The sequence below is a fragment of the Homo sapiens genome, chromosome 11 (assembly GCF_000001405.40).
Source record: "Homo sapiens chromosome 11, GRCh38.p14 Primary Assembly".
Lineage (NCBI taxonomy): Eukaryota > Metazoa > Chordata > Mammalia > Primates > Hominidae > Homo > Homo sapiens.
Window position 1 is genome coordinate 118950652 of NC_000011.10, and position 13356 is coordinate 118964007.

At 52.5% G+C, this 13356-nt stretch overlaps 1 protein-coding gene across 1 annotated transcript; it reads left to right on the forward strand.

Moving 5' to 3' along the window:
- Positions 1-5646: 5646 nt before the first annotated feature.
- UPK2 (uroplakin 2) lies at positions 5647-7908 on the forward strand. The gene is made up of 5 exons (NM_006760.4): positions 5647-5775; positions 6232-6363; positions 6557-6695; positions 6947-7017; positions 7446-7908. The coding sequence occupies exons 1-5, from the start codon at positions 5700-5702 to the stop codon at positions 7580-7582; spliced, it is 555 nt and encodes a 184-aa protein (NP_006751.1). The 5' UTR covers positions 5647-5699; the 3' UTR covers positions 7583-7908.
- Positions 7909-13356: the final 5448 nt, after the last annotated feature.

Sequence of the window (13356 nt, forward strand, 5' to 3'; positions counted from 1 at the left end):
CTGACCTCGTGATCTGCCCACCTCAGCCTCCCAAAGTGCTGGGGTTACAGGCATGAGCCACCATGCCTGGCCTGGTTTTATACCCTTTTTACAGCAGAGGAAGCTGAAGCTCAGAGCAGTTAGTGAGGTATGTAACTTGGCAAAAGTCACAAAGCTGGAAGAAGATTTGGGGTAAGTGGTTGTATCAGAGGCTACTTTTTTTTTTTTTTTTTTTTTGAGACAGTTTCACTCTTGTTGCCCAGACTGGAGTGCAATGGCGCAATCTCCACCTCCCGGGTTCAAGCGATTCTCCTGCTTCAGCCTTCCAAGTAGCTGGGATTACAGGCATGTGCCACCACGCCTGGCTAATTTTGTATTTTTAGTAGAGACAGGGTTTCTCCATGTTGGTCAGGCTGGTCTCGAACTCCCGATCTCAGGTGATCCACCCTCCTCGGTCTCCCAGAGTGTTGGGGTTACAGGCGTGAGCCACCACGCAGGGCGGCTACATTTTTTAAAATGGAGCATTCAAGTCTCCTCCAACCCTGAATGACTGGTATTTTCTCATCCTCACAGCATTTTCCAGCCTCAGGTCTCAAGGATAGAGGTGCCACCACTTCCCAATGGACCAACATTTGGTGAGCACCGCATCTTACCTCCAAATCCAATCCTCCAGGACTCCCCCATCCCTGGCTGTTCCTAGGATTATGACAATGATCTCCAGCATTTCTTCCACACCTTTATTTTAAACCATTTTTACACCTGTCACATAGTTTGACCTCCTGAGTAAGGAAGGGGTCTTCTCTTTATATACTTTATTTCCAGCTCTGTCACCCAGGCTGGAGTGCAGTGGTGCAATCATGGCTCACCAAAGCCTCAGACTCCTGGGCTCAAGCCATCCTCCCGCCATAGCCTCCCAAGTAGCTGGGACTGGAGGCATGTGCCACCATGCCCAGCTCATTGTTTTTTTGTTGTTGTTGTTTGTTTGTTTTTTGAGATGGAGTTTCGCTCTTGCTGCCCGTGCTGGAGTGTAATGGCATGATCTCAGTTCACTGCAACCTCCATCTCCCGGGTTCAAGTGATTCTTTTTTGTATTTAGTAAAGAGGGGATTTCACCATGTTGGTCAGGCTGGTCTTGAACTCCTGACCTCAGGTGATCCACCCAACACAGCCTCCAAAAGTGCTAGGATTACAGGTGTGAGCCACCACCCTGGCCTGTTTTGTTTTTGTTTTTGAGACGGGGTCTCGCACTGTCACCCAGGCTGAAGTGCAATGGTGGGACCTCGGCTCACTGCAACCTCCGCCTCCCGGGTTCACACAATTCCCCTGCCTCAGCCTCCCAAGTAGCTGGGATTACAGGCGCACACCACCATACCTGCTAATTTTTTGTATTTTTAGTAGAGACGGGGTTTCGCTATGTTGGCCAGACTGGTCTCGAACTCCTGACTTTATAATCTGCCCGCCTCAGCCTCCCAAAGTGCTGGGATTACAGGCGTGAGCCACCGTGCCCAGGCTTTTTTTTTTTTTTTTTTAATAGAGAAGAGATGTCACTATATCACCCAGGCTGGTCTTGAACTCCTGGGCTCAAGCAATCTTCCCACCTTGGCTTCCCAAAGTGCTGGGATTACAGGCTGTGAGCCACAGCGCCTGGCCATAATTTTTTTTTCAGTTTTGTAGAGATGGAGCCTTGCTGCGTCACAAGGCTGGTCTCAAACTCCAGGTCCCAAGTGATCCTCCTACTTCAGCCTCCCAAAGTGCTGAGATGACAGGCATGTGTCACTGTGCCTGGTGAGTCTGCCATTTTTTATTTCATTTTATTGAGATGGAGTCTCACTCTGTTGCCTAGGCTGGAGTGCAGTGGCATGATTTCAGCTCACTGCAAGTTCCACCTCCTGGATTCAAGCGATTCTCCTGCCTCAGCCTCCCAAGTAGCTGGGATTACAGGCATGCATCACCACACCCGGCTGATTTTTGTATTTTTAGTAGAGACAGGGTTTCACCATGTTGGCCAGGCTGGTCTCAAACTCCTGACCTCAGGTAATCCACCCGCCTCGGCCTCCCAAACTGCTGGGATTACAGGCGTGAGCCACCGCACCTGGCCAAGTCTTCCATTTTAAATGTGAGAACATTGAAGTCCACCTAAAGTTACATGGTATCTCATCAACAAGAGGACAGTAGCTGCCATCAGAGGCTGACATGGCCATGCAGCCAAGTAGACATGTTTTTCTAATTGACTGGGAGGCAGAGAGTGGCACTCTGGAAGGAGAACCCTGGGCATGTCAGACGGACCTGGGTTCTGATCCCAGCTCTCCTGGTTGAAGAACTGCCATAGTTCAAGTGAAAAAAAAAAAAAAAAAAAAAAGGTGCCACAGTCCAGAAAGAAGTTTGTTTTAGGAGATAGTCTTCTAGGCTGAGCAGACTAGAGCTGTTAAGAGCTCCCTGAGGGCAGAGACTTATCTTACCTTTATATCCCTGGTGGCTAGTGCAGTTCCAAGGACATAGTTGGTACGCAATAGGAGTGCTTGAATAGGAGATTTGGAAGAGAGGAGGCAGGGGAGGGAACTCAAGAGAGTTTAGAATCAAGAATCCAAGGAGGAGACAGCCTAGAAAGAGTGGGTCCAAGACAGAGACTTCAGGCATGTGGCCCTGGTTCCCTTACTCCAAGCCATTGGGAAATCCTCCAGAGGAACATGGTGCTGTGGCTTTAACTGACTTCAGCATTGTCAATGAATCTGCTCTGCTAAAAGAGTTATCCTCTTGCTCCTGGGCTTGGCCTCCCCCTCCTCTCAGCTCCCCAAACCCTTCTCGGCTGCTGTGATGGGATAATTAGATGCGAGAGCTCAGCACAGATGATGCTCCAGTTGCTTAGCAACTAATGGTTTCCATGGAGACCGCAAAGCACAGCCTCCAGAGCAGCCAGTGAGCAGCTCGGCAGGGCAGGGAGAAGACGCAACTCCCCGCTCCTCCAGAAACCTGGGGAGGGCTGGGGTGGGGAAGGTGGGGGGGGGGGATTGGAGGGAGAAGGGAGAGCTTAAAGGCACAGGGCCCTCTTATCCCTTTAAAATCTGATCAGAGATCTGCCCTCCCCTACTCCACTCTGTACCACTCATAATTTTAGATGGGGATGGGGGCTTAAGAGTGGACCCAACTCAACCCACCCTGCAATAAACCCAACCTCTTCTTTCTGCTTCTTGGTTGTGAATGAGGAGAAAGACCTCCCAGTTCAAGTGTAAACAACTTACTGGTGGGTGACAGGTTTTGAGGAGTACCAGGAAGATCCCCTCACCCTGGCATTCCACCATTTAATCTGTCCCCTCTCTCCCAAGTTGTCCTTAATGTGCAAGAGACCCTCTTTCCATTTGTGCAGTGGTGGTGGAATCAAAAGCCAAGGTGCAGGAAAAACAGAACCAAATTCTTCACCCAAAAGCAGCCTGTTCGGGCAGATTGGGAAGGAACACCTGCCCTGATCCCTGATGTCCGTGGAAGAGGATCCAGCTGGGGGTGGGGATGCTGTTTACCAATACAGAGCAGCTGGCAACTTCAAGTGTGGGCCTTTCAGACCGGCATCATCAGTGTTACGGGGAAGTCACTAGAAATGCAGAATTGATTGGGCACGGTGGCTCACACCTGTAATCCCAACACTCTGGGAGGCCAAGGCGGGTGGATCACTTGTGGTCAGGAGTTTGAGACCAGCCTGGCCAACATGGTGAAACCTCATCTCTACTAAAAATGCAAAAATTAGCTGGGAATGGTGGCACATGCCTATAATCCCAGTTACTCAGGAGGCTGAGGCAGGAGAATCGTTTGAACCTGGGAGGCAGAGGTTGCAGTGAGCCGAGATCACGCCACTGCACTCCAGCCTGGGTGACACAGCGAGACTCTGTCTCAAAAAAAAAAAAAAATGCAGAATTTCAGGCTTCACCCCAGACCCACTGCATGACTGCATGAGAAGCTGCATCTTAACAAGATCCCTGGTAATTCATACGCATATTAAATTTGGAGATGCACTGGCGTAAGACCCTCCTACTCTCTGCTTAGGCCCATGAGTTCTTCCTTTACTGTCATTCTCCACTCACCCCAAACTTTGAGCCTACCCTTCCCACCTTGGCGGTAAGGACACAACCTCCCTCACATTCCTACCAGGACCCTAAGCTTCCCTGGGACTGAGGAAGATAGAATAGTTCGTGGAGCAAACAGATATACAGCAACAGTCTCTGTACAGCTCTCAGGCTTCTGGAAGTTCTACAGCCTCTCCCGACAAAGTATTCCACTTTCCACAAGTAACTCTATGTGTCTGAGTCTCAGTTTCCACTTTTCTCTCTCTCTCTCTCTCTCAATTTTCTGAGACAGAGTTTCACTTAGTTGCCCAGGCTGGAGTGCAGGGGCACAATCTCGGCTCACTGCAACCTCCACCTCCTGGGTTCCAGTGTTTCTCCTGTCTCAGCCTCCCGAGTAGCTGGGATTACAGGCACACACCACCGCGTTAGTTTTTGTATTTTTGGTAGAGATGGTGTTTCGCCATATTGGCCAGGCTGATCTCGAACTCCTGACCTCAGGTGATCCGCCCACCTCGGCCTCCCAAAGTGCTGGGATTACAGGCATGAGCCACCACGCCCGGCTGATCTCTTTTCTATTTTAATAGAGATCAAACTCTCTGTGTTGCCTAGGCTGGTCTTGAACTCCTGGCCTCGAGTGATCCTCCCACCTTGGCCTCCCAAAGTGCTGGGATTACAGGCATGAGCCACTGTGCCTGGCCTCAGTTCTACTACAAAAGGAAGCCAGTACCAGCTACCACCCAGGGTGGCTGTAGGGCTACAATGGAGCACACAGAACCCCTACCCAGGGCCCGGAAGACGTCCTGACTCCTCTCCCCTCCCTCTGCTCAGAACTCCTCTGCTTCTTTCTGATGTAGCCCAGGGCTGGAGGAGGCAGTCAGGGAAGTTCTGTCTCTTTTTCATGTTATCTTACGAGGTCTCTTTTCTCCATTCTCAGTTCAACAAATGGTTGCTGCCCAAGGCTGACTGTGCCCACCCCCAACCCCTGCTGGCCAGGGTCAATGTCTGTCTCTCTGGTCTCTCCAGAAGTCTTCCATGGCCACCTTCGTCCCCACCCTCCAGAGGAATCTGAAACCGCATGTGCTCCCTGGCCCCCACAGCCCCTGCCTCTCCCAGAGCAGCAGTACCTAAGCCTCAGTGCACTCCAAGAATTGAAACCCTCAGTCTGCTGCCCCTCCCCACCAGAATGTTTCTCTCCCATTCTTACCCACTCAAGGCCCTTTCAGTAGCCCCTTGGAGTATTCTCTTCCTACATATCAGGGCAACTTCCAAACTCATCACCCTTCTGAGGGGTGGGGGAAAGACCCCCACCACATCGGGGGAGCAGTCCTCCAAGGACTGGCCAGTCTCCAGATGCCCGTGCACACAGGAACACTGCCTTATGCACGGGAGTCCCAGAAGAAGGGGTGATTTCTTTCCCCACCTTAGTTACACCATCAAGACCCAGCCAGGGCATCCCCCCTCCTGGCCTGAGGGCCAGCTCCCCATCCTGAAAAACCTGTCTGCTCTCCCCACCCCTTTGAGGCTATAGGGCCCAAGGGGCAGGTTGGACTGGATTCCCCTCCAGCCCCTCCCACCCCCAGGACAAAATCAGCCACCCCAGGGGCAGGGCCTCACTTGCCTCAGGAACCCCAGCCTGCCAGCACCTATTCCACCTCCCAGCCCAGCATGGCACCCCTGCTGCCCATCCGGACCTTGCCCTTGATCCTGATTCTGCTGGCTCTGCTGTCCCCAGGGGCTGCAGGTCTCTTCCATCTCTGGCAGGGGTGGGAAGGGGGCTGGGGGCCTGGACAGGGAGCACTGTACCTTCCAGGGCTCTCAAAGAGAGGTCTGGACAGTTGGGAGTCAGGGCTGGTGATGGCAGTGACTGGGTATCAGACACTGGGCTCAGGGTACACTCCTGATCCTCCTCCAGACCTAGGAGGCAGAGAGGTGTGGGCAAGGATCCGATGCTGCGGGGAGGGGTGAGGTTGGGCGCTGCCCGACTCCTGGCATCCAGGTTCTGGCTCTGGGGACCGCTTGGTGGAGGGTGCAGCTTCTGCAGCCCAAGCCTGCCACCTGGTGGTCATACTGGCACAGGCCTGGCTGTTCTGCCCAGGGTTCACAGAGTGGAAAGGGAGATGGCTCCAATGGGACCGGGCCAGATCTGTTGGCCAGGAGGGGTCAGTCCCCATCGGAGCTCCCTCCTGCCTCCCATCAGACTTCAACATCTCAAGCCTCTCTGGTCTGCTGTCCCCGGCGCTAACGGAGAGCCTGCTGGTTGCCTTGCCCCCCTGTCACCTCACAGGAGGCAATGCCACACTGATGGTCCGGAGAGCCAATGACAGCAAAGGTCTGCTACCTTCTCCCAAGGCATCCCTCTAGTCCCCAAAGACCCCTTCCTGCGACACCCTCTGCACCCTTTTCCCCATTCATGCCTTCCTGTCCACCCGTCTCCTGGGGTACCCACACTCTAAAAGCTGCCCCTTCTCCTTGGGGCCTCCAGAAACTTGACCCAGTCTTCCCCTCCCGCCACTTCTGCCCAGTGGTGACGTCCAGCTTTGTGGTGCCTCCGTGCCGTGGGCGCAGGGAACTGGTGAGTGTGGTGGACAGTGGTGCTGGCTTCACAGTCACTCGGCTCAGTGCATACCAGGTGACAAACCTCGTGCCAGGAACCAAATTCTAGTAGGTACTGGGTCCAGCCTGAGGCACCTAGGGAAGGGGGTGCAGGAAGAGAGAGAAGCTAGTGTGGGGGAGATCTGGTGGGCATGAGGAGAGGGTGAGGGCACAGCAAAAGGGGGTGAAAGCTGGGCCTCTTGGAGGAGTGCACATAGGGGAGACACAGCTGTGAGGGTAGGTGGCCCAGGCTGGAGCCCCTCTTCCTGTAAGTCCCAATACTCACTGAGGGTTCTCTACTCTCTCCCAAACCACAAAAGCATTTCCTACCTAGTGAAGAAGGGGACAGCCACTGAGTCCAGCAGAGAGATCCCAATGTCCACACTCCCTCGTAAGTAACACTCCCGCCTCCCTTTCCCATCTCAGCGGCCACAAACGCTTCCCTGACCATTCCTGCCTCATCCCCAGTCTGGGTTGCCTGTGCCTCCCCGTGCGCCCTCGGGGCCCCTGCTTACCTCTATCCTAGCACGGAACCTTCGGCATGGCTACTGCACACTCAGCTAAAGGTTCCTCGTGGGCAGGGACTGTGTCCTCTTAACTTTTCCTCAGCGGCTGACATAGGAGATGCTTCATAAATGTCTATGTGATGGGTGTTTGGATCCATCAGCTGGTTGGTTGGTTGGTTGGTTGGCTGGCTGGCTGGCTGGCTGGCTGGCTGGTTGGTTGGGCAGTCTGTTGGCTGGATGAGTGTGAGGCCGTGAGCCTCAGGCAGGCTGGGGGTCTCTCCCGCCCACAGTGGTCTCCCCTCTCTTTTGACAGGAAGGAACATGGAATCCATTGGGCTGGGTATGGCCCGCACAGGGGGCATGGTGGTCATCACGGTGCTGCTCTCTGTCGCCATGTTCCTGCTGGTGCTGGGCTTCATCATTGCCCTGGCACTGGGCTCCCGCAAGTAAGGAGGTCTGCCCGGAGCAGCAGCTTCTCCAGGAAGCCCAGGGCACCATCCAGCTCCCCAGCCCACCTGCTCCCAGGCCCCAGGCCTGTGGCTCCCTTGGTGCCCTCGCCTCCTCCTCCTGCCCTCCTCTCCCCTAGAGCCCTCTCCTCCCTCTGTCCCTCTCCTTGCCCCCAGTGCCTCACCTTCCAACACTCCATTATTCCTCTCACCCCACTCCTGTCAGAGTTGACTTTCCTCCCATTTTACCACTTTAAACACCCCCATAACAATTCCCCCATCCTTCAGTGAACTAAGTCCCTATAATAAAGGCTGAGGCTGCATCTGCCACATGTGTTTCCCTTTAGTGGGCTCTACCTTGGCTCAAACCTGTGGAATCTATGTCCAAGCTGCAGGTGCTCCTGGTCCCCTCCCTGCCCCACAGCCCAGAGTTACTTTTCCCATGAGGCAGGCAGGGGCCAGTAAGAGCCCAGCAGTCAGAGTTCTCAGAGACACACCGGGGCTGTGGGTTTGGCAGCATCCACAGTACACAGTGGGCCACTCAACTAGGGGTGCAGGTCAGGGCAGAAGCTGGGGCTGGTGCCCCATGTGGAGGCCTGGAGGCCTGGGGGTGGGGGTGGGGGGCAGGCAGAGCAAGGGAAGTGCTAGGGAAAAGAGGAGAGGATCTGTCTGGGAAAAGACAGGCCAGGTGCAGTGGCTCATGCCTGTAATCCCACCACTTTGGGAGGCCAAGGCGGTCAGCTGGCTTGAGGTCAGGAGTTTGAGACCAGCCTGGCCAACATGATGAAACCCCGTCTCTACTAAATATTAAAAAAAAAAAAATAGCCAGGTGTTCGGGCAGGTGCCTATAACCCCAGCTACATCCCAGCTCTCATCCCAGTGGCTGAGGCATGAGAATCGCTTGAACTCAGGAGGTGGAAGTTGCAGTGAGCCAAGATCACACCACTGCACTCCAGCCTGGGTGATGGAGTGAGACCCTGTCTCAAAAAAAAAAGACAAAGACGAGGCCACCAGGCTGAGACCCAAGAATGGGGCATTGGGGTCAGGAGAGAGAAGAACAGGCTAAAAGTATTCTAGGAGGTGAGAACGAAAGCAGAAGAACCCTGGTTGGAGTGGGCCAAGAGTGGAACAGCCTAGTACTGAGGGAAAAAGGCAGGAGTGGCCACATTCCTTCACTTTTGTCCTCTGCAGTATATAACATATTCTTTTTAAGGATCAGTGATCTTTGCATTGTACTTAGGGTAAAGACCTTCAAGGCCAGGCCTGATCCCGTAACTGTTCCTCAGCTCTTACCAGATTCCCTCCAATTTCCCAGGCTCCCTCTTGCCTCAGGGCCTTTGCACAACTATTCCATACAGCCACACTGATATTGGCACCACCCCCCAACACCTCCATTCCGGTTTTCATAGTTAGCTTACTGTCCCTTCTCCAGGGAAGCCTTCTCTGACCTCCATTTTCTCCTATTTGGTTGGGTTCCACTCTCCTGTCTTTCATAGCATTACCACGGTTTATAACCATGGGTTTGTGTGATTATTTGGTTGTCTCTCCCATCAGACTGTAAGCAGTTGCTTTGCTCCCAAGGGCATATGGTATCTTTGCTCCACAGTGCCTGGGACACAGCAGATACTCAATAAATGCTTGCTGAATAAGTGAACAAACAAATGCACAAATGAATGAACCAGCCTCTAAAGAGAAGGACAGAGCTAGGAAAGTGCCCAAAAGAAAGAGGAAGGAAAGGAAGGAAGAAAGGAAGAAAGAGAGAGGTAAAGAGAGAGAGAAAGAAAAAGAGAGAGAGAAAGCAAGCAAGCAAGCAAGCAAGCAAGCCGGGCACAGTGGCTCATACCTGTAATCCTAGTACTTTGGGAGGCTGAGGCAGGAGGGTTGCTTGAGCCCAGGAGACCAGCCTGGACAACAAGGCAAAACCCCGTCGCTCTGTCGCTCTGACACCCAGGCTGGAGTGCAGTGTCTCAATTTTAGCTCACTGCAGCCTCAAAATCCTGGGCTCAAACAATCCTTCCGCCTCAGGTCTCTGCATAGCTAGAAATACAGGTGTGTACCACCATACCCAGCTAACGTTTAAATGTTTTTGTAGAGTTGGCATCTCACTATGTTGCCTAGGCTGGTCTCAAACTCCTGGGCTCAAGTGACACTCTTGCCTTAGCCTCTCAAAGTGCTGGTGTTACGGGATCTCTGGGATGTCAACTTTTCTGGCTGGAAACCTCTGTGGCCATGACGTCTTTGCCTGAGTTCTTGTCATGCATCCAGGAAGAATGAAGTATGCAGACAAGTGAAGGGTGAAGAAAAGGGTTTGTTTGTTTGTTTGTTTGTTTGTTTTGAGACGGAGTTTCGCTCTTCTTGCCCAGGCTGGAATGCAGTGGTGCCATCTCAGCTCACCACAACCTCTGCCTCCCAGGTTCAAGCAATTCTCCTGCCTCAGCCTCCTGAGTAGGTGGGATTACAGGCATGTGCCATCATGCCTGGCTAATTTTGTATTTTTAGTAGAAACAGGGTTTCTCCATGTTGGTCAGGCTGGTCTCAAACTCCCGATCTCAGGTGCTCCAACCACCTTGGCCTCCCAAAGTGCTGGGATTCAGTTGTGAGCCACCGCGCCAGGCCAAAGAGTTTTATTTAGAGTTCGGACAGCTTGGAGGAGTGCTCAGCTCCTAGCAGAGAGGAGGCCCTGGAGAGGGTGGCTCCTCTCTGCAGACAAGTCATTCTGATGTCTCTGCAGGTCTCTGAAGCTCTCAGAAGAGAGGGTAGCTCCTCTCCACCAGCAGGTCGTCTCTATGGCTCTCAGCAGAGAGGGTACACCCTCCGCAGCTGGTTGTCCCATCGTCACCTGCTATCAGCAGAAAGGGTACTCCTTTCTGCAGCTGGTCGTCAAATCCCATTGTCTCTCTGCCCTCTTCATCCTCTGGCCATCCTCTGCCCTGCTCTGGCTGAGCCCAGGGCTTTTATGGACATCAGAGGGGAGAAAAGTCCATAGGCAGCCGTGGGCAAGCCCATAAGAGGCATCACAAGTCCCCACTCCGGTCAGTGGGACTGGCAGCCCAGCCCCCAGCTTTCAGGCCCTCCCTGGCCTGAGGGTGGGGACTTACTGAGGGCCCCACCCCTTCCCACCCAGGACTCTGTCTGCCTCCCACTGCCATTCATGACCCCTGGGCTTGGCCCCAACCCCGCTCCTTTCTGAGATCGGAGCAGGTGCTGGGAGCAGAGAGAGGCCAGGCAGTGGGAGCAGACACCCATAAGCCTGCAGGGATGGGGGCTCAGGGTGGGGGGTTCTTCCTGGGGCCCCTGAAGGTGCAGAGACACCAGGGTCCTGTGTCTGGGAGGGGGGCCGCAGCTGCACCCAGGACCTCCCACCCTGCCAACTCAGAAGGGGCAGGGCTCCTGCTTTTCCCTGGCTCCTGCCTGCTTCCTGGAGCAGGAGGCCGAGGTCTGCGGCCGCACCCAGGAAGGCAGATCCTGCCTGTTCCGGGCTCCCCCAAAAGCACAGGAAGGCAAGGATCCACAGCTGCGGTTTGGGCAGCTGTAGCCTCCTGGGCAGGGCTCCTGCCTGCTCCATAGAGCAGGAGGTCTGGGTCTGCAGCTGCGTTTGGGTGGCTGCAGCGGCTCGGGGAGCTCCCTTCCCAACTCAGAAGGGGCAGGGCTCCCATTGGCCCCACAGAGTATGCAGACCCAGCCGCGGTTACCTGCTGCAGCTGACATGATGCCAGCAGCCACGGCCATCACTGGGATTACAGATGTGAGCCACCACACCCACCTACACATTATTTAAAATTGTGACAAAATATACATAACATAAAATGTACTACTTTGGCCAGATGCAGTGGCTCACAGCTGTAATCCTAGCACTTTGTGAGGCGGGCAGATTGCCTCACCTCAGGAGTTCGAGACCACCCTGGGCAACATGGTGAAACTCCATCTCTACTAAAATACAAAAAATTAGCTGGGCGTGGTGGTGCGCGCCTGTAGTCCCAGCTAGTTGCGAGGCTGAGGCATGATAATTGCTTAAGCCTGGGAGGCGGAGGTTGCAGTGAGCTGAGCCGAGATCATGCCACTGCACTCCAGCCTAGGCGACAGAGCAAGACTCTGTCTCAAAGAAAAAAAAAAAAAAAAGTACTACTAATTTAACCGGTTTTAAATGGACATTTCAGTGGCATTAAGTATATTGACATTGCACAACTATCACCAGTGTCCATTCCCAAATTTTTCATCATCCCAAATAGAAACTCTATACCCATTAAACAATAACCCTCTACTACTAATCCCTTCAGCCCCCGGAAACTACCATTTTACTATGAATTTGGGTCACTGTAGGTACCTCATATAAGAGGAATTATATAAAATTTATCCTGTTGTGTCTGGCTTATTTCACTAAGGATAATGTCTTCAAGGTTCATCCATGTCCTAGCATGTATCAGAATTTCATTCGTTTTTGTTTTTGTTTTTGTTTTTTTGAGACCGAGCCTCAAAAAAAGGCTGATTCCAGAATAGCTGGGATTACAGGCGTGCACCACCATGCCTGGTTAATTTTTGTATTTTTAGTAGAGACGGGGTTTCGCCATGTTGGCTAAGCTGGTCTAAACTCCTGGCCTCAAGTGATCTGTCCACCTCGGCCTCCCAAAGTGCTGGGATTACAGGTGTGAGCCACTGCACCTAGCAGCATTATTCCTTTTTATGGCTGAATAATATTCCATCATATGGATATCCCACATTTGGTTTATCTGTTCATCTGTTGATGAACACTTGCGTTATTTCCACTCTTTGGCTATTGGCTATTGTGAATAATGTTGCTGTGAACATGGGATGCAAATATTGGTTCAAGTCTCTGCTTTCAGTCCTTTTAGGTATATAATCAGAAATAGAATTGCTGAATTATATGGTAATCCTATGCGTAATTTTTTTGAGGGACTGCCAAACTTTTCTTTTTCTTGTTTTTAATTTTTTTTTTTTTTGAGACAGAGTTTCACTCTTGTCACCCAGGCTGGAGTGCGGTGGCGTGATCTTGGCTCACTGCAACCTCTGCCTCTTGGGTTCAAGTGATTCTCCTGCCTCAGCTGGGATCACAGGTGTCCACCACAACTCCCGGCTAATTTTTGTACTTTTAGCAGAGACTGGGTTTTGCTATGTTGGCCAGGTTGGTCTGGAACTCCTAACCTCAAGGGATCCACCCGCCTTGGCCTCCCAAAGTGCTGGGATTACAGGTGTGAGCCGCCATACCCAGCCTGTTTGTTTTTTCTAACAGCCATCCTATGAAGCCATCCTATGAAGTATGAAGTGGTATCTCACTGTGGTTTTGATTTGCATTTCTCTAATGATATATACATCTCTTCCTGTGCTTATTGATTATTTGTATATTTTTTCTTTGGATAAATGTCAATTCAAGTTCTGTGCACATTATTTTTTTTCTTTAGAGACAGGATTCATGCACAGTGGCTCATGCATGTAATCCCAGCACTTTGGGAGGCAGAGGCAGGAGGATTGCAGGAGTCCAGGAGTTTGAGACCAGCCTAGGCAACATAGTAAGAGCTCATCTCTACAAAAATAAATCAAAATTGGCCGGGCGCGGTGGCTCACGCCTGTCATCCCAGCACTTTGGGAGGCCAAGGCGGGCGGATCACCTGAGGTCAGGAGTTCAAGACCAGCCTCAACATGGAGAAACTCTGTCTCTACTAAAAATACAAAATTAGCCAGGCATGGTGGTGCATGCCTGTAATCCCAGCTACTTGGGAGGCTGAGGCAGGAGAATTGCTTGAATCTGGGAGGCAGAGGTTG